We start from the raw sequence: 24541 nt of genomic DNA, 5'->3' as shown, positions 1-24541 counted from the left end.
CCTGTCCAGGTAGTGGCAGCCCCCGGCCGCCTCCTGCCCCAGCCAAGCAGGGTGGTATGGGGGCCTGGCCCTCAGGTCCCTGCCAGGCCAGGCCTCACTGGCCCCATCCCCCTCATGGTCAGTGTGGCAGTGGGCGCCCGTCCTGCATGAAAGAGACTAGCACGTTTTTCATTCAGATTTACCCAGGAGGTTGCTGTCTTTCATACAAAGATGAGGTTCACTGGTAGGAGGCAAAGGTGGGACTAGGGAGGTGACCCGCATGGGGCCGATGGAGAGAAACTCTTCCCACCCCGGCAGGAAGGGGCCTCTTCCTGGCCGCCCCATCCACACTCAGGTTCTGCCCCCAGACTTGGGCCCTCGCCTACAGGAAGGAGGCTGCCCCAGGCCCAGGGGGGTCGGGCCCGGTGACCTCAGGCTGCCTCTGCAGGGGCCATCACTGCCACGAGGCCGGGGAGTGGCATGTCCAGTTGCGCCCCAGGGTCAGGCTGTCCGGCCTCTGTGTCTGGGTAGCAGTGCCCCAGGAGAAAGACCCTCCCTGGCCTGGTGGTCCCATCTGGCCCCGTACTCCAACCCGCACGGGTGCCCATACATGTCTGCCAGCCGGGCGAAGCGGGGCCCCCAGTCTCTGAGGTAGTCGTAGTCCTGGTCCTCATCGCCCTGGCTGGACAGGATGGAGCTCAGCGTCCCCGCCACCGAGCCGTCACCCTCGTAGTCATAGATGAGGGCTGTGTCGTAAGGCGGCACACTGGGGTCACTATCTGCAGCCTCCAAGCCCTATAAAGAGGCCCGGAGAGCTCAAGACACATGGAGGGGCCAGCGGGTGCCCCACCGCCGTGGCCACAGCCCAGGGCAAAGTCAGCTCAAGGCACGGGCTCAGGAAGGGGAAGCTGCCCACGTCCGGGGGCGAGGTCTGAGGGGAGGCAAAGCGTCCTGAGGGCACAGCAGCAGGGTTGTGAAGAGGGTGCCACGGACTACCCCCTTCCTCAGTATTAGGCCAGCGGCCAGCCCGTCCCCCGGGGCTCTGCCCTGCCCCAGCAAGGTGGGAAGGGGTTGCTCCCCCTCACCCTGGTCTCTTCCTCCCCGTGGCCCTTGTCCACTCAAGGCAGAACCCGAGCCTCCTGGACACCCCCATCCGCAGAACGGCCCGTCTGCCTTTCGGAGGCTCTGTCTGCATGTCTGTCCTCTCAGCTCGTGGGGACACACGCTCCTAACCGGGGGTGTACACCTTGGCTGGGGGCTTTCTCTGAGCCAGGTGCTACAGGTGCAGACAGGCACAGAGGAGGGTTCCCTGTGCGCCCCACACCCCAGATTCCCCGTGTGCACATTCATCCTGTGGATGGCAGGGAATCATTAACGCTGTGTCCAGAGGGTCTTCTATGGAGGCCCTGATTCCGCTGACAGCCACCGAAGCCCAGGGGATGCTCCCGGGGCTCCCCCACCCCCTCCATGGTGGACACGGGGCAGTGGATGGGTCTGTGGCCATCGCCACTCCATCTGTGCAAAGACCCGCGTCGCGGGTGGAGGCTGAGGGCCCAGTTTGGACGGTGGCAGCGGGGCTTCCACACTCCCGCCCGCACACCATCTTCCTCTGCGGTGCTCTGGGACGGCCCATAAGTGCATGCAGGCGCCGGTTCTTGCATGCATGTGCAGGTGTGTACATGTGCATGTGTGTGTGCACCTGTGCGTGCCTGTGTGTACTGGGGTGTCCCCAGGAGCACCTACATCATTGATGAAGTCGGCGATGTCCAGGGGGCTGGTGGGCAGCACTCGGGGTGGCTGGGGGTGCAGGCGGCCCTGCGGGGCATCTCTGCGAAGTGGCGGCGGTCCCAGAGGCAGGCTCAGCGCTGTCGGGTGACGCAGCTGGCTGATGTCGTAGGCGTCCTGTGGGCGAGGAGGTGGAACAGAGCCAGGCATCCCTCGGGTGGCCCTGGTGGAGGTCTCAGGTACAGGCTCCTGGCCAGCTTGTTGTAAGAAGGCCCGCGACCTGGGTTCCTTGGGGACCCCTCCCCACCCACACCTGCCCCCTCACCTGGTCCTCCTCCCCGCCTCCTTGCTCATCGTAGTTGAGGACATTGTCTCGAAGGTCGTCCTGGGGGCCGTGCAGCAGCCCCTTGCCCCGAGACTGCTTCCAGAACCGCGCCCGGAGTGCCACGAGCAGGACCAGCACTGGGGAATGAGGGGACGCAGGCTGGGGCCAGGCACAGGGCGCGACTTCAGGGGGCCGGGCTGCGAAGGAGGTGGGAGGAGGGGGCGGGGCGGGGCAAGGCTGGTAAGCAGGGGTGGGGTTGAGGGGGCGGCAGTTGGGGAAAGGGCGTGTCTGGCATGGAGGAGCCGGGGTTGGGGAGGAAGCCGCGAGGTTAGGGAGGAGGGGGCCGGGTTGTGGAGGAGGGAGCTTGGCTGGTAAGGAGAGGCCGGCTTGGGGAAGAGGCGTGGCTGGCAACGAGGGGGCGGGGTTTGCGAGCAGGGGGCGGGTTGGGTGGAAGCGGCGTGGCTGGTAATGAGTGGGTGGTGTTGGGGAGGAGGCGGCAGTGGAGAAGGGGCGTGGCTGGTAATGAGGGGGCGGGGTTAGGGAGGAGGCGGAGCTGGGGAGGAAGGGGCGTGGCTAGTAATGAGGGGGCGGGGTTGGCGAGCAGGGGGCGGGTTGGGTGGAAGCGGCGTGGCTGGTAATGAGTGGGTGGTGTTGCGGAGGAGGTGGAACTGGGGAGGAAGGGGCGTGGCTGGTACTGAGGGGGCGGGGTTACGGAGGAGGAGGAGCTGGGGAGGAAGCGGCGTGGCTGGTACTGAGGGGCGGGGTTAGGGAGGAGGAGGAGCTGGGGAGGAAGCGGCGAGGCTGGTAATGAGGGGGCGGGGTTAGGGAGGAGGCGGAGCTGGGGAGGAAGCGGCGAGGCTGGTAATGAGGGGGCGGGGTTAGGGAGGAGGCGGAGCTGGGGAGGAAGCGGCGTGGCTGGTAATGAGGGGGCGGGGTTAGGGAGGAGGCGGAGCTGGGGAGGAAGCGGCGTGGCTGGTAATGACGGGGCGGGGTTAGGGAGGAGGCGGAGCTGGGGAGGAAGCGGCGTGGCTGGTAATGAGGGGGCGGGGTTAGGGAGGAGGCGGAGCTGGGGAGGAAGCGGCGTGGCTGGTTAGCAGGGGACGGCCTGGGGAGGAGGGTCCGAGGGTCCGAGGGTCCAGGTGGAGGCGGGGCGCTCACTCACCCAGCAGCAGGAGGGCGCTGGCCAGCACGATGACCAGTGCGCCCAGGCTGAGGCCTGTGCCCCCCGCCAGCAGCGCTGCGGCCCCCGGCAGGCAGACGCCGTCCTTGCCGCAGCGGCACACGGTCACGTTCAGAGGCTGCTCGCGCTGCTGGGGCGGCTGCCCCGAGTCCCGGAGCAGCAGGCTGAGGCGGTGCAGGCCTTCGGGGACCTGGTGTCGCGGCCGCAGGCGCGCGTGGCTCACTGCGGAGGGCGCCTGTGGTGAGCGAGGGCCTCCCGAGGCCGCCCCCACTTCGCCTGCCCTCCTCGCGCCGAGACAGGGTGGGGATCCCGAGATCCTGGGCCTGGGTCCCCCCCACCCCCACCGTCCTCTGGGCACAATGAGTAACCCTGCCCCACGGGAGGATGCAGTGGTGGGGGGGGTGGCGGGAGGGGACCTGTTGCAGGACCACGGGTTTGCATGCCCCTCACCCTCCTGCCCCCGTCCGAGGCCGGAATGTGGGGGTGGGGGGAGCGTGGGGATGGGGGGAGCGCGGCGGTGAGGGGAGCGCACCGTTGACCTGGCTGAGGCTCCAGTTCCGGCCGAGCTCTGGGAGCCTGGGGCTCAGCTGGAAGTGGAAGGGGGCCCCGTGGGGGGGCAGGTCCTCATCCGTGGCGCCCAGGAGGAGGCCTGGGCCTTGGTGTGGCTCGCTGCACAGGCTGCCCGGCGGCGGCGGGGCCAGCACAGGTGCATGGTCGTTCACCTCCAGGATCTCGATGGACAGGGTGCCGGTGGCGGTGCGGGGCTGGGAGGCTGCAGGCGAGGAGGCCGCGGCTTAGTGACCCCAACACCCCAGCCTGCCCCACCAGTCGGCTCAGAGCGGGTGCGCAGCTCTGAGCCCCCGGGCGACATGGGCAGAGCCCTCCGACACTGGCAGGGGTGCTCAGCCGGGACAAGGCCAGGTCAGGGAGCCCCAAGCCGGCGGCGCCGCTCACCGTCATCCTGGGCCAGGACGATGGCTCTGTACCAGCCGCCCTTGAGGAAGGGGGACGCCGGGCTGAGCACGTGCTGGGTCTGGATCCGGCCAGTGGCTGCGTCCACTTGCAGCCAGTCTTCCGGGTCGTAGTCCTTGGAGTAGCTGATGCAGGGGAGGGGAAGAGTGGGATCTGAGTTTACCCCAGGGCCCCACAGGTGTGGTCAGGTATGGGTGCGTGACATGCACTGCACACACACAGGCACACACATACATACCACATGCATGCACACATGCACACAACATATACACACGCACACACAGCCTTACATGCCACATGCATGCACACACCACATACACATACATGGGCATGCACAGCACACACACATGCACATATATACACATAGACACTCCCCCCCACCTTGCACATACCACCCCCCACACACCTATACACCACACGCATGTACCACACATGTGCACACACATATGCACATACACATGTACACACAACCCATGTGAATATGATGGGAGCTGCAGTCACCAGCACCTTCTGTGAGGTGAGGAAACTGAGGCTCAGGGAGGGCAGGCGAGCTGTCCAGGGCGCTGAGACAATTGTGTGGCAACCTAGTTAAGCCTCAGTTGGTGCTGGCCCTTCCCGGGCCCCGTGGACACAGACAGGGATACACAGGGCCAGGCTTGGAGTGAAATGAGATGCGAACGGCCAGTCCCTTGGGAGCAAGGGCCTCCTGGGATGGACACGGCTGGCAGGGACAGACTGGCGTGCACAGGCTGGAGTTGGGCCTGCCCTAGGGGGTGAGGTCACCCCAACATGCACACACGGGCATGCTCGGGACTCGAGACCCTCCAGACCTTCAGGAACCCACACAGCAAATGGCCCCTACACCCTCTGACCCTCAGAGCCCAGGGATCAGGGGCACCCGAAGCAGGAATGGGGCCGTTAGCCTCCTCTACCTCTCCCAGGGCCTCAGGAGCCCCACCTGAGCCTCTGCAGCTGCTCTGTGTCAGGGTCCCGGGCAGAGAAGGTGGCCACCAGAGTGCCTGGGGGTGCCCCCTCTGCTAGGCTGGTCCGAAGTGGGTTCTCCTGGAACACGGGGGGCTCGTTGGTGTCCTGCACATGCACGCGGACCTTGGCCTGGCCCCGCTCAGCCCTAAGGGCAGCCGCCTGCAGCGGGGCCTCATTCTGCACCGACACTTTGAGTTCGTAGTGTTCACAGCTCTCATAGTCCAGGGCCTGAGGGAAGGAAGCACAGCCCGTCATCCGCCCAACGCAAGTGTGGGCACCCGAGGGCAGGTGCCATGGGGGAGCCACTCCTTGGGTCTGTCCAGAGCACCTGTACTTTCCTTCTGCCCCTTTTTAACCTTGAAAAAACAAATTATGCAGGACAAGAAGGCACAAAGAATATTATTAAAATGCTGGTTGTGTGTGGTGGTGGTTGGGGAGCAGCCCAGGGTTCAAGCACATACTCCGCGGGTATTTCAGCGAGGGCCGTTGGGGGATGGCGCCAGCCCCTGCAGTCACTTGATTTTAAATAAAGGAGATCGTCCTGGGTGATGTGGGTTGGCTTTATCCACTCAGGTGAAGGCTTTGAGAGCAAAACTGCATTTTCTCTGCCTCTAAACTGCTGCGTCGGCTCCAGCCTGTGGTCTGCACGTTAGACCTGCCCAGCCAGACCCCAGCACCGCATGAGCCAATTTCTTGCAGTAAACCTCTTACTGTGTCAGTATCTAAATACACCCACATCTACACGTGTGGACATATCTGTGCATGTGTCTCCTATGGCCTCTTTCTCTGGTAGAACCAGGACTGACACAGGTGTGCAGCTGTGATTTTGTACATGGATTCCATATGAAAGGAGGAAGGCTGGACAGAGCAAAGTGGTGGAGGGTGTCCCCTGCCTCTGGCCCTCAAGCCCCATGGGTAGCGTGGCCTGGGACCCAGTCCTCAGGCTGGGGGGCTCCATGCCCTCCCCCACTCTCTCTCACCCAAGGACGAACACAAGGTCCCAGCTGGTCAGAGGATGTGAACCTGCCAGGAAGGGGCTCAAACCCCAGCATGGGCATCTGTGTGTGGGCATCTGTGTGTGGGCATCTGTGTGCGCCAGCATCTGTGTGTGCCGGCATCTGTGTGTGGGCATCTGTGTGTGCCGGCATGTGTGTGTGCCGGCATCTGTGTGTGGGCATCTGTGTGTGCCGGCATCTGTGTGTGGGCATGTGTGTGGGCATCTGTGTGTGCCAGCATCTGTGTGTGGGCACCTGTGCGTGGGCATCTGTGTATGGGCATCTGTGTGTGCCGGCATCTGTGTGTGGGCATCTGTGTGTGGGCATCTGTGTGTGCCGGCATCTTTGTGTGGGCACCTGTGCGTGGGCATCTGTGTGTGGGCATCTGTGTGTGGGCATCTGTGTGTGCCGGCATCTGTGTGTGGGCACCTGTGTGTGCCAACATCTGTGTGTGGGCACCTGTGTGTGGGCATCTGTGTGTGGGTGTCTGTGTGTGGGCATCTATGTGTGCCAGCATCGGTGTGTGGACAGTGTGGGCATCTGTGTGTGGGCACCTGTGTGTGGGCATGTGTGTGTGGGCATCTGTGTGTGCTGGCATCTGTGTGTGGGCACCTGTGCGTGGGCATCTGTGTGTGGGCACCTGTGCGTGGGCATCTGTGTGCCAGCATGTGTGTGGGCACCTGTGCGTGGGCATCTGTGTGTGGGCATCTGTGTGTGGGCATCTGTGTGTGCCGGCATCTGTGTGTGCCGGCATCTGTGTGTGCCGCCATCTGTGCGTGGGCATCTGTGTGTGCCGGCATCTGTGTGTGGGCATCTGTGTGTGCCGGCATCTGTGCATGGGCATCTGTGTGTGCCGGCATCTGTGCGTGGGCATCTGTGTGTGGGCATCTGTGTGTGCCGGCATGTGTGTGTGCCGGCATCTGTGTGTGGGCATCTGTGTGTGCCGGCATCTGTGTGTGGGCATCTGTGTGTGCCGGCATCTGTGTGTGCCGGCATCTGTGTGTGGGCATCTGTGTGTGCCGGCATGTGTGTGTGCCGGCATCTGTGTGTGGGCATCTGTGTGTGCCGGCATGTGTGTGTGCCGGCATCTGTGTGTGGGCATCTGTGTGTGCCGGCATCTGTGTGTGGGCATCTGTGTGTGTCGGCATCTGCGTCTGCCGGCATCTGTGTGCCAGCCGGGGGCCGCTCACCTTCACAATGGACAGAACACCCTCGTTGGTCTTGGGGTCCGTGCGGATGGTGAACTGCCCATCGGGGTCGCCTTCCAGGATGGTGAACCTGGCCACCCAGTTTGGGGAGCCTGGCAGGTCCCTGTCCTCCACTTCCAGGCGTCCCACATCCACTCCGCTGACGGCCTCTATGGCCTCCATGAAGAACTGGGTGGGGGATCCCAGCCCCAGTTACCAGCAGGGCTGGGGGGACAGCATGGGTGGGGCCCTCAGGGCCCTCAGCCCACCCTCCCCTCCCACCCTCCCTCCTGCCTCCCAGCAGGAACACCCTCCCTTGCTCCTGTCGAAGCTGCTCCCCACCCACTGGGTGTCCTCAGGTTTGTCTGTTTTGTGAGTCACTGTCCCCCACGTGCCCCCATGGTCCTCCTCTGTGGGCTCAGCTTCGTGCTCCCTTCCCATACAGCAAAGGCCGGAGGGAGACTTGCTCTGCAATGCGAGAGGGCCTCAGAGGGTCCCATGGGCTGCTTCTCCCCAAGGGCCTCTCTCCCAACTCTGACTCCATTCACACACTGCCACGCAGCACCCCGGGGCCCCTCCAGCTTGGGCTTCCACCCGCCCACGCGGAGTTCCTTCTCCAAAGCACACCATCCTCCTGCCCCATCATGAAGCCCGCTGCCTTCTGCAGGAGCCCAAGAAGGGAAGGCAGCTCTAAGCAGGGGCTACTTTCGAGGGAGGGACAGCAGCAGCACCTCATCCCTGGTGAACTCGGGGGCATTGTCATTGATGTCATCAAGGGTGATGATGGCTGAGGCAGTGGCTGTGAGGCCGTCTCCAGACATGTCCGCCACCTGCAGGGTCAGATTGTACACCGCGACCACCTGGGGATGTGGGGCACAGGGTCAGAAGATGAGGGCCCAGGTGGGGCACATGGGGACTGGTCAGGGGTGGGAGCCAGGCCACCTGGCCAGCTCAGTTCCTACGGGAGCACCCAGTGGGTGTTGAAGACCCCAAGTGGCCCTGAGAATCCTGCCCTGATCCTAAGTGCATGAGGCTGTGATGCTGCCCTAGCCTATGGCACTGGATAAGCATTTACAGAACACCTACTGTGCACTGGGTAAGCGTTTACAGAGCACCTACTGTGCGCTGGGTAAGCGTTTACAGAGCACCTACTCTGCACTGGGTAAGCGTTTGCAGAGCACCTATTCTGTGCTGGGTAAGTGTTTACAGAGCACCTTGTGTGCCCGGGGTAAGCGTTTACAGAGCACCTACTGTGCACTGGGTAAGCGTTTACAGAGCACCTACTGTGCGCTGGGTAAGCGTTTACAGAGCACCTACTGTGTGCTGGGTAAGCGTTTACAGAGCACCTACTGTGTGCTGGGTAAGCGTTTACAGAGCACCTACTGTGTGCTGGGTGTTTGCAGAGCACCTACTGTGCGCTGGGTAAGCGTTTACAGAGCACCTTCTGTGCGCTGGGTAAGCGTTTACAGAGCACCTTCTGTGCGCTGGGTAAGCGTTTACAGAGCACCTACTGTGCTCTGGGTAAGCGTTTACAGAGCACCTTCTGTGCGCTGGGTGAGCTTTTACAGAGCACCTACTGTGCGCTGGGTGTTCACAGAGCACCTACTGTGCGCTGGGTGAGCGTTTACAGAGCACCTACTGTGCGCTGGGTGAGCGTTTACAGAGCACCTACTGTGCGCTGGGTGAGCGTTTACAGAGCACCTACTGTGCGCTGGGTGTTCACAGAGCACCTACTGTGCGCTGGGTAAGCGTTTACAGAGCACCTACTGTGCGCTGGGTAAGCGTTTACAGAGCACCTACTGTGCGCTGGGTGGGCCTTTACAGAGCACCTTCTGTGCGCTGGGTGAGCCTTTACAGAGCACCTACTGTGCGCTGGGTGAGCGTTTACAGAGCACCTACTGTGCGCTGGGTGAGCCTTTACAGAGCACCTTCTGTGCGCTGGGTGAGCCTTTACAGAGCACCTACTGTGCGCTGGGTGAGCGTTTACAGAGCACCTACTGTGCGCTGGGTGAGCGTTTACAGAGCACCTACTGTGCACTGGGTGAGCGTTTACAGAGCACCTACTGTGCGCTGGGTGTTCACAGAGCACCTACTGTGCGCTGGGTAAGCGTTTACAGAGCACCTACTGTGTGCTGGGTAAGCGTTTACAGAGCACCTACTGTGCGCTGGGTAAGCCTTTACAGAGCACCTACTGTGCGCTGGGTAAGCGTTTACAGAGCACCACTGTGCGCTGGGTGTTTACAGAGCACCTACTGTGCGCTGGGTAAGCATTTACAGAGCACCTACTCTGCGCTGGGTAAGCCTTTACAGAGCACCTACTCTGCGCTGGGTAAGCGTTTACAGAGCACCTACTGTGTGCTGGATAAGCGTTTACAGAGCACCACTGTGCGCTGGGTGTTTACAGAGCACCTACTGTGCGCTGGGTAAGCATTTACAGAGCACCTACTCTGTGCTGGGCACCTAGCACACCAGTGAGCTTGGGTCCCTGCCCTGGGGAACCGTGGTTAGTGGCAGGAACAGAAATGGACAAAGACCACGTAACAGTGTAACCAGGAGGGCTTCCTAGAGGAGCTGACTCAAGGGGGGTCTTCCGGGAGCACCGAAGTCCGACAGCAAGGGGCAACAGGGGCCCTGACAGAAGGAGTTAGTTACTTACCAGCGGGGAGCCGTTGCCATGAGGCTGAGAGGGGCGGGGCTGCTTGGGGAGCCCTGCCCTGTGCCGGGCCCCTCACGCCCTACTTGCACCAGACCCCTCCCACCCGGGCCAGCGCGGCTCCTGTCTGCGCATCAGTGGGTTCACCCCATGCCATCTCCTCAGGAGCCAGGGCCACTGCAAGCTCTGCAGTGACGGCAGGGACAGGAGCGTCTGGGGTGGGCAGGCTGGGGGCAGAGGGACCCGCAGGAGATGGGCTGCCCTGGCCGTGCGGGTGTGGAGCTGCCGGGGCGCCACCTCACCTCGCGGTCCAGCCCCACTTGCACTGTGCGGATCTCTCCTGTGAGCTCGTCGATGCTGAAGAGCTCGGGGCTGCCCTGCTGCAGGATGGAGAACCGCAGCGCTGCGTTGTCCGTCTCGGGGTCGTCGGCATCTGTGGCCTCTGCCCTGGTCACATAGGTGCCTGGGAAGCACAGGGAGGCGTGAGGGCCAACGTCCACAGGGCCGATGGGCTGGGGGCATTGTGAGGGGCGTGGGGGCACCTCGTGTGCACAGGCTCCCCGGTTCCAGCACGGCTGACCCCAGATGGGGCAGTCAGTCCATGCTGCTGTTTGCGTCACCGAGGCGGCCAGCATGCGGCAACCCCCAGGTCGAGATGCTTCCCGCTGCCCCTGAAGCCCACCGTGCTGTGTCCAGGCCACCTATGTGGTCGAAGCCTTTTGCCCGGCTTGTGCTGTTTATGGGGTCGGAGCACAGGAGCATTGGATGCGACCTGGGTCAGGTGCTGGCTCCTGGGCCTGCCCAGTGCAGGGGCTAAGGGCGCTGGGTCAGATTGGGCTAGCTAGCGGGGGCCTCCAGGAGCTGCTGGCATCCAGGGTGACAGAGGATGCATGGGCAGGCTGAACAGAGGACACACGGGCAGGATAAGACAGAGGACGCACGGGCAGGCTGGGCAGAGGACGCAGGGGAAGGATAAAACAGAGGACGCACGGACAGGATAAGACAGAGGATGCAAGGGCAGGATAAAACAGAGGATGCGCGGGCAGGCTGGGTGCAGGACACACGACAGCCGAGCAGAGGACGCGCACTGTGACTGTGTAGGCCAGAGCCCCCGCCCCACCTGCTGTGGGAAGCGGTACTCACGAAGGTGCCGCTAGAGGGACCACATATGGCAGGACCAGGTTTCACCTCCCCCCATTTCCCTCTCCTGAGATTTAGGCCTGACCCCTCTGGCAGCTCAGGTGGACTTAGCCACCGAGGTGGGGTGGGAAGGACGGGCTTTGGGCCACCCTGGGGAGCAGCTCCTGGCTGGCTGTGACTTCCCCCCGGGACAGCTGGAGCTAGGACGTGCTGTCTGTCACCTGGGGCAGAACGAGGCGCGGAGGCCACTGCCACAGACACGGGAAGGAAACTGAGGCGGGATATGAGCCTCCAAGCCTGAGCCTGGGCCAGGCCTGGCCACAGTCCTTGGTAGCCTCAGACACGAGGGGGCCTGTGCCTTTCCACCAGGTCTTTACCACCGGCCCCCAGGGAGGTGGGAGCGAGTCCCCGTGGCTGGAGCTTACAGGTCAGCCTGGGTTTAGGGTGAATCACAACCTAGAGATGCCTGTGGGTGCTCTGGACCCCATGTGAGTACAGGGTGAGGATGGAGTGTGCCTGGCTCCAGATGGCCCCCTCAGCAGGAGGGAGAAGTCATTTGCTTTTGGGGGAGAACAAGACCCCTGAAAAACCTCCACTCCCAGGCTCAGATTTTTGGGTTTGAAATTTATGTTGGAATGGGAAGTGGCAGGAGTTGACCTGTGGAAACGGACCTGCCTCGGAGACTTGTTTACTTATTTTTAGACTCTGAGGGGCCTCTGGAATTCTTGCTTAAGGGAAGTCCTGGACTTCACAGAGCCCTTCCTTGCAGCCCCTCCCGGCCCGGGGCTGTGGTCCTGTCTCACCTGGGACTGCACCCTCCAGCACGCGGCCAGTGAACGCCTCCTGCAGGAAGGCTGGCCGGTTGTCATTCTGATCCACAACTACAATCTCCAGGTCCGTGGGGTCCTCCAGGGTGGATCCTCCCAGGTCCAGGGCAAACGCTCTTAGCTGTTCAAACATAGAGCAAGGGCTGGCTCTGTGGCCCCCAAATTTCTGTGGCTCCCGTTAGGGCCATGCGAAAGAGACAGCACGTTCAGACTTTGTCTCCAGCTGGAAACACCAGCTTAAACAGGCGAGAAACAGCACAGGGTGGGGCATCTGTCACAGTGACTGAGGACGTCCCTGAACGGGAGCCACCTTCCCTTAGCAGACAGGGCAGGTGCCACTTTCCCTGCTTGCCTTGGCAGCCAGGAAGCTCACAGCTTCACGTGTGACTAAAGTAAGGCTCTCAGAGGGTTCCTAATCTCTCTCCCTGTCTCTCTGTGGTCTTTGTTCCTCCTGAAGTTATGTTTTTGTTTTTTGTTTTTTTTTTTGAGATAGAGTTTCACTCTTGTTGCCCAGGCTGGAGTCCAATGGCGACATCTCAGCTCACTGCAACCTCTGCCTCCTGGGTTCAAGCGATTCTCCTGCCTCAGCCTCCCAAGTAGCTGGGATTACAGGTGCACGTCACCACGCCCAGCGAATTTTTTGTATTTTTAGTAGAAATGAGGTTTCATCATGTTAGCCAGGCTGGTCTCAAACTCCTGACCTCAGGTGATACGCCTCGGCCTCCCAAAGTGCTGGGATTACAGGGGTGAGCCACTGCGCCTGGCCTCCTCCTGAAGTTTAATTCCCCTGTGCACATGACATTTTAAACTGCCTCCCATCCTTTCGGAGAATGGGCACAATTACAGTTTCCAAGTGAGAAATACTCTCTAATAACTTTTGATGTAAGGGATACAAGGACTGGTTCTCAAAGTCTAAAGGAGGATTTGGGGCAAATAAAAGGAAATTTTGCTTCCTGCAGAGGCAAAGGCAGGAAGCGTCCTTTCCCCACATCAAGTACAAAGTTACTTTTCTTTTTTTTTACCTTTTGAGATGGCATCTCGCTCTGTTGCCCAGGCTGGAGTGCAGTGGTGTGATCTTGGCTCACTGCAACCTCCACTTCCTGGGTTCAAGTGATTCTCCTGCCTCAGCCTCCCAACTAGCTGGGATTACAGGCGCGTGCCACCACACCCGGCTAATTTTTTGTATTTTTAGTAGAGATGGGGTTTTGCCATGTTGGCCAGACTGTTCTCAAACTCCTGACCTCAGGTGATCCACTCGCCTCGGCCTCCCAAAGTGCTCGGATTACAAGCATGAGCCGTTGTGCCCAGCCCAAAATGACATTTTGGAGAGGGCAGGCTGGGGGAGGACAGGCTGGGAGAGGGCAGGCTGGGAGAGGGCAGGCTGGGGGAGGGGAGGCTTGGGGAGGGCAGGCTGGGGGAGGGCAGGCTGGGGGAGGGCAGGCTGGGGGAGGGGAGGCTGGGGGAGGGCAGGCTGGGGGAGGGCAGGCTGGGGGAGGGGAGGCTGGGGGAGGGCAGGCTGGGGGAGGGGAGGCTGGGGGAGGGCAGGCTGGGGGAGGGCAGGCTGGGGGAGGGGAGGCTGGGGGAGGGCAGGCGCCTGAAGGGAGTGCAGACGGGGTTCTGGTTTTCTGGGCTCTAGGGCTTGCTCCCACTGCCCTTTTTTTTCTTCTTCTTCTTTCTTCTTCTCCTCCTCTTCCTCCTCCTCTTCTTCTTTCTTCTTCTGTTTTTTTTTTTGAGACAGAGTCTCACTCTGTCACCAGGCTGGAGTGCAGTGGCGAGGACTCAGCTCACTTCAACCTTCGCCTCCCGGGTTCCAGCGATTCTCCTGCCTCAGCCTCCTGAGTAGCTGGGACTACAGGCGCACGCTAGAATGCCCAGCTAACTTTTGTATTTTTTAGTAGAGACGGGGTTTCACCATGTTAGCCAGGATGGTCTCGATCTCTTGACCTCATGATCTGCCTGCCTTGGCCTCCCAAACTGCTGGGATTACAGGCGTGAGCCACCGCACCCGGTCCTCTTTTCTTCTTTTTTTTTTGAGAGAGGGTCTTCCTCTGTCACCTAGGCTGGAGCGCAGCGGCGCAATCACGGCGCACGGCAGTGTCGACCTCTCGGGGGATCCTCCCACCTCAGCCTTCCAAGCAGCTGGGACCACAGGCACGCAGCAACACCGCTGGCTAATTTATTTTACCATTTTATCTTTTTTGTTTTACCATTTTATCTTTTGTTGAGACAAGGCCTCACTTTGATGCCCAGCCTGGTCTCGAACTATTGGCTTCAAGCGATCCTCCTGCCTCAGCCTCCCGAAGTGCTGGGATTGTGTGAGCCACCGCGCCCGGCGCTCACTGCCCCTTCTCTGAGAATCCCAGCCCCCAAGGGGCATCAGTGGTTTCTTCCCTGACTAACCCCACTGCCCAGAACAGTGGCGGCCACTGGGATCAACATTATTTTGGGGCCAGGTGTGGTGGCTCACGCCTGTAATCCTAGCACTTTGGGAGGCCAACATGGTGAAACCCCATCTCTACTAAAAATACAAAAATTAACTGGGCACGGTGGTGGAGCCTGTAATCCCAGATACTCAGGAGGCTGAAGCAGGAGAATTGCTTGAACTGGGGAGGTAGAGATTGCAGTCAGCTGAGATTGTGCCACTGCACTCCAGCCTGGGCGGTAGAGTGAAGCTCCATCTCAAAAAAAAAAAAAGGTCGGGCGCGGTGGCTCACTCAGGAGATCGAGACCATCCTGGCTAACACAGTGAAACCCCGTCTCTACTAAAAATACAAACAATTAGCCGGGCATGGTGGCAGGGGCCTGTAGTCCCAGCTACTCGGGAGGCTGAGGCAGGAGAATGGCGTGAACCCGGGAGGCGGAGCTTGCAGTGAGCCGAGATCCCGCCACTGCACTCCAGCCTGGGCGACAGAGCGAGACTCCATCTCAAAAACAAAAAACAAAAACAACACTATTTAGAGATTCTTCACGACACTCCTGAGCTCCCAGGACCAGTGGGTTGCTGGCTGTGGTTGAGCCACAGAAGCTACAGCGGCTGCAGCATGCTCCTCCCTGGCAGAACCAAGCCGCTCCTCCACGGGACCTCTGTCTGCCCTCCAGTTAAATGGGCACATAACCCTCAACAGTTGCCTCCTCCGGCTGCAGGGCCTCGGTCCCAAACCCCTGTACCTGCCCCCTCACTTAAGGGTGCCTGGATCTTGCAGTCTGGCCTGAAGCCCACCGAGCGGGGAGGAGAAGCCTGGTGGGGAGGAGGGGCACTGGCTTTCCACCAGGCCTGCTTGAGGGGCACAGGTCCGACCACGCAGCTCCGCACCCTGAAGCGATCAGTCTTCTCGCGGTCCAGCATGGCATTGAGGAAGACCTTCCCTGTGAACTTGTCGATAGAGAAGACGCCCCGGGGCTCCTCATCCACGCCGGGTCCCTGGATGCTGTAGATGACGCTGCCCAGCTGCTGCTTGTCCGACTTGATCTGTGGGGCAGGAAATGGGTTTGGGGAGAGCTGCTCCGGGCGGGGGCCTCTGCCCTCTCTGCAGCCCCTCAGGCCCCTCCCCAGCTGACAGCAGGGCAGGTCTAAGTCTCCTAGGACTGGAGGACGGATCCTGGTACCCAATGAGGAGCTGTGCTGGGCTGGGGACAGCTCAGCCTGTGGCCCCAAGGGTGCCCCGTCTTGCAGCCTCATTTCAGGCTCAGCTCCTGGTGTCCTCAGGGCCCTGGTCTCTGGGGCGATTTTGGGTATGTGAAGCTGAGGCCCACGCAAGGCAGTTCACCTTCACCTCCATCTACTCAGCGTCGGCGAACACGCACACAAAAATCACGCCCGAGCGTGCAGCCTAACGTGGAGTATGTCCACCCGAGGCGCATGTGGGGTGGGAGCAGCTCTGGACTCCCCTGTGGCCTGGGGCAATGGGGAGGGTTTGAGCCCTGCTCTAGACCCAGGTTGGAAGCCCAGAGCCCTGGCAAGGTGGGCGAGTCCTGCCTCAGCTCTGTCCTGAAATGGGGCCCCGCTGGCTCCCAGGAGACCTTTAGAGAATGAGGGAGGCCCACTGGGGACCAGCCTACCCCTTTCTCCCCTCCTGCCCCCTCCACCTGCTCACCTGAACCAGGGGGTAGGGGAGACGCTTGTGGTTCTCGGATACGCTGATCGGGGGGATGACCCAGGCCCTCCGCACGCGGCTCAGGGCAGGCGCCCGGCGCCAGGGGTACAGGGTGGTGGGCCTCCTCCATCCAGGAACCCCCAAAGACAGGCAGAGGCTCTGCAACAAAGACAGATGCGTCCCACAGTACCGTCTCCTGGAGCCCTGGGCGGCAGCGTGCAGCTGGGAGCTGTGGGTGGTGAGGAGGCCACGGGGCGCAGTGTTTCCCTCAGCCCACGGGTCGGTGCCCATTGGCGCAAGGCGGCTTCCACACACGGGGCTGCGTAGCACAAGGGCAAAGGCACGTGAGCCCCGCCCCCGTCGGACTGAGCCAGGGCCTTGGTGGCCACACCCCAAGTACTGGCCCTCAAAGCCCCCATCCAGCTGCCCCCGAGTCTCCTACTGGGCCCACTCAGCAGCCAGGCTGTCTGCAGCCCCTGGCGAGTGCATGGGCCACTGGGAGGTAGCGCTAGGGTTCCAGGCCTCTGGCTGGGAGGGACACCTGAGATTCACCCGGCGGGGACACAGCCTCGCCCCAGGTGCCAGGGTAGCGGTGCACACGGAAAGCCCCTGGGCCAGCCAGGGCTGGGGAGAGCGTGGGGTCCTGACACGGAATGACCCCAAGAAGCCAGTGGCGGTGCCTGTGGGCACAGTGGGCTGGCTGTGGAGGGTCCGGGGGAGCGGCAGGGGAGGTGCCTGCAGGAAAGTGCCCGTCCCCCTCCACCTCTCCAGGCTGCTTTGTGGGAACTGAACCCCGGGATGCGAGAGTTCAGCTCCAGTCCATCAAGAGCAGCTGGAGATGTATCCGTAATTCATACAGCGGCCCCCAACTGGACTGTGCTGTGTGGCTGAACCGGCCTGCAGCTGCTGCTGGTCTGTCAGGTCCCAACACGTCAGGGCTGGGCAGCCAACGCTGGTGGTGCGGGTTCCTGAGACTGACTGGGCAGGGGCCAGGGCTGCCTCGGTGGGGCTGGGTGGGGTGGGGCTTGTTGTGGCTGCACAGCCAAGAGGGACATGGCTGGGGACAGAGGGGCAGCCCCACCCCCAGCCTCACTCTTCTTCTCCCAGAACAGGGTACCTCGGTAAAATCTTCATCTCTTCACCCCAATACTTCAGCTGCTGGGACCCTGGTGTGCCCATCTCCTCCTCTCCCACATCAGGGGCTGGGACGCACTGTTTGTAATGCACACGGGAAGCCCTGGTGCTCGGGGATGGGGCCTGGGCAGAGTGTGGGGTGCAGAGGGAGATGCTGTGCACCCCACCCTACTCCAGGGCCGGGACGACCCTCAGGCCGGTAAAGACCCCAAAGTGGAGGTGGCTGCCCCCAAATTCTCCCGAGGTCCTGACGGTCAGCAACTTTTGTGACCACAGATAGCCCCACACCCACCCCTCAGATGGGGAAACTGAGGCCTAGAGAAGGGACCCAAGTCCAAGAGCCAGGTGGAGAGGGGCACTCGTAGTGACCCCAAAAGCACATCCTGAATTTTCTGGTTTTAAAAATGCGGTCACCGTACCCAGCTCCTAGCCTGGGCCTTGGGCCTCCCTCCTGGGGTGCCCGGCCCCACCTTGGTCAAAGGGAAGCTTAGAGACGGCGGGTCCTGCCTGTCCTGGGATCCCCAGGACACCTGTGCTTGGGACCCCCGAGCCTGGGGAGTCAGTGTTTCTGGGTGGGCTGCATGGCTCTTCCTGAAAGACCCCTGACCCTAAAGCACAGCCTGGTGGAAGCTGCCGCAGCTGACAGGACATGGCTCTGGGCTGACCCCACTCGGCTCGGCACGGACATGGGGGTCACCCTCGAGCTCCCCGGTCAGGCTGATGCCTGGTGCAGCTCGTTGGGGCACAGAGTCTGCCTGAACTTGGTGAGGGCAGCAGGGGCCAGGGCTGGGGGAGAGGCAGGGGAGAGGGAGATGAGGGAGGAGGAAACAGGGCTGCCCTCTCCCATCCCCTGTGCCCTCTCCCCGTCCCCTGTGCCCCGGGCCTGGCTAGGAGCTGTCTGTGCCTCCCTAGTCCTGGGGGTCGCCAGGCTCCCGGCCTTTCTCTCGGGTGACCCTCCTCCCTGGAGGCCCCCTCCCACCCAACAGCGCTCTCCTAGCTGCCAGAATGTTCTAGATATTCACCATCCAAGACCCACAGGCCACATGGGGCTGCTGAGCCCTTGAAATGTGCCTGGCAAAAGTGAGGAGCTGTGTTCCCCTTTCACCTCATTGTGGTTAAGGCCCCATGTGTGGCCAGCACCCAGCCCCACATGCCCAGCGCTCACAGCCCCAATCAGCCTTGGCGAGGGTACCCCGACCTTCCCAGCCCCCCACTGCAGGGCTGTGGGGGTGAGAGACCCGAGGCCCTTCCCGCCCCCCACCGGTACCACGTGTAGTGAGGGTGTGGCGTCTGCATCGTCCCAGTGACAGGGGCTACAGAGGAAGATGCTGAGTTGGGGTGGGCAGGGTGGGAGGCTTCCAGGACCCTGTGGCCAGGGTTGTGGTGGGGGTGGCAGCAGCTCCCCAAGGAACAGACCCTAACGCAGAGACGGGGCAGCCTCCTGCACCACCCGGCTGGGAGGGGACAGAGACCCCCTACCCCGGGCCATGCTCTCTGGGGCACCCCCACCCAGGACAAGCCCTCAGGCTGCTGGGCTGCCATGTCGGGCAGGGGGACGGGTGGGAGGTGCTGGGGGTCCCAGGCAGGCGATGGGGAGTCTGGGAGCAGAGCAGGCCCCAAACATCACCCACCACACACAAACTCCTCAGCTCCCCTTTCAGACAGGGCCCCCATCTTAATATCACCATCTTCGCGGCCTGCTCCTGAGCTCCTTCCCCATCTCCACATCACCGTCTTCGCGGCCTGCTCCTGAGCTCCTTCATCTGGACAGCAGGTGGGCTGGGGTCTAGGGAGGCTCACGGGACTCCCCAGCCGGCACCAAGTCCTGTGCCTACTACAGAGGTGTGCCGGCCACGCCACACCAACACCTAGAACAGCTCCCCACATTGTGCGAGCGGAGGGAGCACCGAGTCGGCCCTGGTGAGCGGGACCCTGCGTGGGAGGCCTCACCCAGCTCCCCGCTGGAAGGGGGCACCCGCTCCAGGCAGGGTGGGGCCCCATGAAATGGAGCACCGAGAACCGGGGGGTCAGAGCTGGGCCAGCTGGGCCGCCCCTCCCCCTGCAAAACCACAGGTGTCGACAGCTACTCTGACCACCACGCCCCTGCTGGCTCCGAGGCTGCCCGCTCTCCTCAGCCCCGTGCCAATGCCTCACCCTCCAGTGCCGCCTGCTCCTGCTGGCTTTGCCGAGACTTCAGTCTAGGCAGGGGCCGGGACGTGGGGGCATGTGGCCTTGAGAGGAGGCAGCGGTTGGGGGCTGGTAAGTCTGAGTGGGCGGGGGCCGGGAAGGAGATGTTGGCATGGCCAGGAAGCCTGTCAGGCCGAACCCCCATTAGGCTTGGCCTCTGTCCTCCACCACCGGCCGCTTACCCTGTGTGGACGAGCAAGGCCCAGGCTGCCCATCTGCCCACCCTGAGATGGGGCACTGGGGCCTCTCGCTCTGACTGTGTCCTGTGCCCAGGGCTGGCCCAGCACACAGAGGTCCCCACAGGCAGCGGCAGCAGCCTCCAAACCATGGCCACCTTCCCTGGGGTTCTTGGTCCTCGGCCAGCAGGACCTGAGTCCCCTCCTCCATGGCCTCCTGGGAGTCCAGAGAGTAGCAAACGCTTTGGCAGGAAGCAGGGAGAGGATGGGGTGGGGGTTCCTCAGGCTCCCAGGCAGGGGACCCTGCCGGGGAAGCTCTCTGCCAGCTGACAGATGGCGGCCCTGGCCTCGGAGCCTGCCAGCACCCACAGAGCACAAGCCACTTCCAGGGCAGGGCAGCTCCTGCCAAGTGGAAACCTGCCTGCCCAGCATGGGGCCTTCATCAGCCTCGGTGGGCACAGGGTCTGTTTCCGGCCGTGGCTGGGCAGCTTTGCACCTCCCTCTCCCCCTCCCCTTTGGTCCTCCCAACCCCCCGGGAGCCTGTGGTGGTCCCTTCACCTCCCAGCTCTGGGCAGTGAGGTTCAGAGAGCCTGAGGCATTTGCTCAAAGCCACACAGACAGAGCCAGGAGTCACGTGGGGTCTGAGACCCAGATTAGGCTCTGAACCGCATGCTCTGAAGGAAATCCAGCCACAGAGCCACACCGGCCTTGGGCTAGGCATGGGCATGGGGCAGGGAGACCCCAGGCTCTAGGAACCCCACACGGCTGAGGTGGAGGGGCCACCCCCACCCGGGCAGACGTTTCCATCCCCTCCCTGCCCAGCTGCCACCAAACCTGGGCCAGCCCTGTTCACCCAACCTCCAGCTGCCTCCACCGGAGACCCTCCAGTCACGCTGGGCCGGGTGTGGTCAAGCCAGAGGCTGGGAGTCCTGGGCCCAGGCCTGTCCACAGCCTGAGTTCACCAGGTCACAGCAGCCACAGAGCCTTGGCAGGGCTCACTTGCCCAGATCACGGCCAATGTGGGTGTGGGTGAGCAGGCTGGCCACGGCCCACTTCCGGCTCTCGGGGGCGTTCTCAAAGCTGGCTCTTTGTCCTCCCACCCCATCCCCGTCCCAGAAGACGTGGCCAGTGGAGGGAGGGCCTGGGAGCCGTCCTGGGGAGATCGGGACATCCGGTGCCCAGGACAAAGCCACATCAACGCAGCCAGCCCACAGCCCTGCACCTGGGGTAGGGGACGCAAGCACCCTGGGAGGTGGATTTTGTGGACACTCGTCCACTCCTCTCTGTCCCCCACCCAAGCCAGGCAAGACCCATGGACATTAGTGACCTGCTTCCCCACAGGGGGTCCCCAATGACACCCCCAAGCTCATCCTCGACTGGACCCTTAGCCAAGAGCCTGGAGGGAACCACCTCGAAGCCCTTGAGACGTCTGGGGCCACCGCCCTGCAGCCAAGCTCCTGGGACTTAACGCCTCTCTTGAGGTCTGCTCCTAGCCTGACACTCAACCCCAAGGGGCTGCTGTGTAAGAAAGCTCTGCACACACTGGGCGCTTGCTGCAGTCTACAAACACCACTGCGAGGTGGGAATGGGGTTTACGAACACCACTGCGAGACGGGAACGAGGAGCGGTTCTGGGGCCGACCTTGCACTCCTGCTCCCCCGGTTTTCCAAGGAAGGGTGCTACGAGATTCTAGGAACACGCTTGGTGGCGTGTGGGTGGGTTTGCCTGGGAAGAGAGTGCGAAGGCCCCTCAAGCTTCTCAGGCTTCAACCCCTCCCCCAGGCTGGAATCTGGGGCCACCCCGTTCCTGGATGGCCAGGCATGCCAGGAATGGCCCCAGCTGTTGGCCTGGCCCAGAGCGGCTGGAGCATCTTCCCTGGGCCCCACCCTCTCTAGCTGCTGCGGGCTTCAGAGAAGGGATGTGGAAGAAGAGGCATGGAGGCAGCTGTCCCCTCCAAAGCACGGTGTCTGGGGCTGTCCTTCCACTGTGGGAAGAACAGTGGCCTGGGAGCCACTTCCCTTCTTGGCCTTGGTCACAGTCACCCGAGCTAAGAGCCCCTGCCTGGCCCCCAGGGTGCTGCTGACTGTCTCCCAGAGACCAAGGGGCTCCCAAAACCCAGATGCAGAAGTGGGGACCTTCCCAGCAGGCTGGGGTTCTCTGTGAGTCAAGTGTGCTGCCCCAGACCTCAGCCGCCTCCCAGCTGGGGTGGGGTCCCAGGTGTAGAACCAGCAACTAGGGATGGTGTAGGTGCAGCAGGGCTGAGAGGGGCCAGTTCTGAAGACACCCTCCGGGTGGGGCTGAGTGAGCTCAGCAATCAGAGGTGGCCCGAGCAGGGGAGCAACCCCTCACTTGTAGAAGGCCCTGATGGGCCCACGCTGCCTGCCTGGGGGCTCACCAGGAGGCGGCCCAGGACCCCAAGGCTGCCCAGGAGAGCTCACAGTCCTGAAAGCTGAGCTGCTGGGGGAGGGGCAGGCAGGGTCCTGACACTGACATATTTTGCCTCACAGTGGAGTGAATTTGAGCCTTGGCGATAGTCCCCTTGCCATCTGGCCCCCACCTCCACCACCTCCCCCAGCCTCCAGCTGTCGGGGGAGGGGGTTATTGTCCCCCAGCCCTGGGCGAGAAAAGAAGGGACAGTGAGAGGGAAGGCTTCTGAGGAGGGAGAGGTCCTGCCTGCCTCCCCACCTGCCACAGAGCCCCCTGGGGCCTTTTGAAAGGCAGACACTCCCAAATCCAAAGGAAGAGGTCTGGAGGAATGTTTTCACAGGCGCCAGCCTCCCCACCACCATGCCCTGGGTTGGGGTGCCAGGGAAGAAACCCTGTCCCCAGAGCAGGTGGGGAAGGGCCCTGGAGGCATGGAGCCCCCCAGCCTGCGCTCCCCGGCAGAGGGCTGAGGGGTGGAGGGCCGGGGGGTGAGCACGCATGCTGAGCCACTGTCTCCCCCCACCACTGTCTCCAGATGGGGGAGTCGGGGGTGGCAGGAGCCGTGGTGCCCTCAGGGGCAGCTGCTGGAGGGTCTGGCTGGCCAGGCGCCTGGTCAGCTGCCAGGGGCTGAAATTGGAGCCAGCTGGAGCTGGGAGGCCTGTGGGAATGAGGGGACTCAGGAAGCCCCTTCAGTGGGGGCTGGGAAAGGAGTGGCTTCCCTTACTCACTGTGTCCAGCACTCCCTGACCACCCCAGGACCACAAGAGCAATGAATACTGTGAGCACCGCTAAGCCCTTTATGTGCATTCTCTCTCGAATTGGCCAGAGAGAGGCTGCCCTCTTGTACCCAGTGACGTCCCAACCACAGCCGGCCATGCCCCAGCCCAGCCCAGTCCCTGGGGGCTGAAGCCACTGAGGCCACATCCTCCATGTCTAGGTCCCCCTAGGGTGTGAGGAGACGTGGCTCCAGCTAGGCAGTACCCATGTCGGGTGTGGGGGGCTGAGGCCTGGGCTTCCTTCCACTCTGGCTTGCTCCCACGTTGGAGAGACCACGGTGCCAGCAGTCCAGACAAGATTTTTAGGGGCAGAGTCCAGCAGCCTCTGGGGGCTGGGCCCCCAGGCCTGATCACCCCAGGCAGCTGCGGCAGGGTCCCAGGTGAAGCCCAGGAACAGAGCCCCCAGGGCTGCCACACGCCACTCTGCAAGGCCGTGTGTTGCGACCTGGCTCGGGCTGGGCCCTCCCAATCGAGAAGTAGCCGTGAGGGTGAGTTCCTGGGGGCAGGGCCTGCAGCCACCCCTGCTGGCCAGGAACTTGGGGTGGGGGGTTTGGACAAAACCCAAGACTAGCCAGGGGTCCTGTGCCCACCGCAGGGAGTCCCTATAGAAACCTGGCCCCCAGCCCCCCAGAGAGGGGCACTCCTGCCGCTCCCCCCTCTCTCTGCTCCACTCAAGACTGGCAACCCCCAGACCCCGGCAGCGGTTCCTCCAAAGAGAGGGCACGGCTACCTGGGTGGCCCCTGCCTGGGGTCCCTGACCCCAGCAGCACTCTGCAGTCCTGGGGGTGATTCCACCAGATGGAGTGTTTGGTTACACTCACTCCCCACAACCCCTGGGGTGCTGCCCCCAGCCCAGGGACCCACCCGGAGCCACTCCGCTCACAGGCCCCCAAAGGCGACCAGGGCCAGTGGTTCTGGGGGAGACCTGTGCGGCTGCAGTTGAAGACACTGTCCCGCAGCGTCGAGGGAGGCAGCGGGGACCCCCGCAGGTGCCGATGCCTTACCTGGGCCAACAGCCCGAGGACGAGGAGGAACGCGGCGTCCATCGGGGCCGAGGCGGGAGCCGGGCCGGAGTGCACCCGCGACCCGAAGAAGCGCGTCCAGGCTGAGTGACAGCGCAAGTGCGCGGGGCGGGCCAGGGCCAGAGACAGAGACAGCACGTGTGAGGGGGGCGGGGAGGGGGCGGGGCAAGGGCTGAGTGACAGCACGAAGGAGGCCTCTGACGGGCCGAGGGCCGGCCTGGGCAGGGCTAAGGCTGAGTGACAGCGTGTTGGCAGGCGGGTGGGGCGGAGCCTCTGGCGAGCTAGGGCGGGGCGCAGGCTGAGTGATAGCCCGTGTGCGAGTGGGGCAGGCGGGGCGGGGCCGGGGCCGAGGGCTGAGTGACAGCGCAGGTGCGCCGGCGGGGCGGTGACCGCACGAGGCTGGTGGGGCGGAGCCAGAGGAGGATGGGGCGGGCGGGGCGGGGCCGAGGGCTGAGTGACACCTTGTGAGAGTGCGGGGTGGGGCCGGGGTGGGGCCGGGGCGGGGCCGAGGGCTGAGTGATAGCTTTTGCGGGGTTCCGGCGGGCAGGGCCAGGGCTAGGTCGGAGATACCCCGGCTTGCTGCGTTGGGAGCAGAGCCAGAGGCCAGGCTGTGGGGAAGGCAGGGTGGGTGCGTCCGGGTCAGGGACCAGCTGGGATTCCTGGCTTCTTCATTTCCTGCTCCTTGGGCCCGGCTCGCCCCTGCTCCAGGGAATCTGCATTGTAGTCCCTGCCGGGGGACACCTCTTGAGCACTTCCTTGGG

At 62.9% G+C, this 24541-nt stretch overlaps 1 protein-coding gene across 1 annotated transcript, besides 6 other annotated features; it reads right to left on the bottom strand.

Annotated features, from left to right (window-relative positions):
- Positions 144–23888, bottom strand: CDH15 (cadherin 15). The gene is made up of 14 exons (NM_004933.3): positions 23763–23888; positions 16062–16220; positions 15281–15436; positions 11944–12088; positions 10303–10463; positions 8079–8207; positions 7351–7536; positions 5140–5393; positions 4164–4306; positions 3742–3981; positions 3192–3431; positions 2030–2166; positions 1723–1881; positions 144–774 (listed from the first exon to the last, which is right to left on the bottom strand). The coding sequence occupies exons 1-14, from the start codon at positions 23802–23804 to the stop codon at positions 481–483; spliced, it is 2445 nt and encodes an 814-aa protein (NP_004924.1). The 5' UTR covers positions 23805–23888; the 3' UTR covers positions 144–480.
- Positions 1198–1863: an enhancer, noted in NCBI's record as "H3K4me1 hESC enhancer chr16:89260181-89260846 (GRCh37/hg19 assembly coordinates)". NCBI's record gives its function as "activates a minimal SCP1, AML or CMV promoter by ChIP-STARR-seq in naive and primed H9 embryonic stem cells {active_cell/tissue: H9 hESC(naive and primed)}" and the evidence as "EXISTENCE:reporter gene assay evidence [ECO:0000049][PMID:30033119]".
- Positions 3016–3345: a silencer, noted in NCBI's record as "silent region_7894". NCBI's record gives its function as "represses an Ori minimal core promoter by ATAC-STARR-seq in GM12878 lymphoblastoid cells {active_cell/tissue: GM12878}" and the evidence as "EXISTENCE:reporter gene assay evidence [ECO:0000049][PMID:35858748]".
- Positions 7937–8076: an enhancer, noted in NCBI's record as "active region_11396". NCBI's record gives its function as "activates an Ori minimal core promoter by ATAC-STARR-seq in GM12878 lymphoblastoid cells {active_cell/tissue: GM12878}" and the evidence as "EXISTENCE:reporter gene assay evidence [ECO:0000049][PMID:35858748]".
- Positions 9961–10255: a silencer, noted in NCBI's record as "tiled region #11767; K562 Repressive non-DNase unmatched - State 7:EnhWF". NCBI's record gives its function as "represses a minimal TATA promoter and a strong SV40 promoter by Sharpr-MPRA in K562 cells {active_cell/tissue: K562}" and the evidence as "EXISTENCE:reporter gene assay evidence [ECO:0000049][PMID:27701403]".
- Positions 20172–20671: an enhancer, noted in NCBI's record as "H3K4me1 hESC enhancer chr16:89241373-89241872 (GRCh37/hg19 assembly coordinates)". NCBI's record gives its function as "activates a minimal SCP1, AML or CMV promoter by ChIP-STARR-seq in naive H9 embryonic stem cells {active_cell/tissue: H9 hESC(naive)}" and the evidence as "EXISTENCE:reporter gene assay evidence [ECO:0000049][PMID:30033119]".
- Positions 23813–24452: a silencer, noted in NCBI's record as "silent region_7893". NCBI's record gives its function as "represses an Ori minimal core promoter by ATAC-STARR-seq in GM12878 lymphoblastoid cells {active_cell/tissue: GM12878}" and the evidence as "EXISTENCE:reporter gene assay evidence [ECO:0000049][PMID:35858748]".

The sequence above is a fragment of the Homo sapiens genome, chromosome 16 (assembly GCF_000001405.40).
Source record: "Homo sapiens chromosome 16, GRCh38.p14 Primary Assembly".
Lineage (NCBI taxonomy): Eukaryota > Metazoa > Chordata > Mammalia > Primates > Hominidae > Homo > Homo sapiens.
Note: the sequence above shows the minus strand (reverse complement) of the source record. Positions and strands in the feature narration are given on the sequence as shown.

Bases quoted from the DNA above. Each gene is read 5' to 3' on its own strand.
- CDH15 (NM_004933.3), bottom strand. From the start codon at position 23,804: ATGGACGCCGCGTTCCTCCTCGTCCTCGGGCTGTTGGCCCAG. The intron at 16,221-23,762 runs GTAAGGCATCGG...TCTTTGTTGCAG, and splicing joins TCCTCGGGCTGTTGGCCCAG to AGCCTCTGCCTGTCTTTGGG. The intron at 3,432-3,741 runs GTGCGCTCCCCT...CGCCCTCCGCAG, and splicing joins GAGCCTCAGCCAGGTCAACG to TGAGCCACGCGCGCCTGCGG.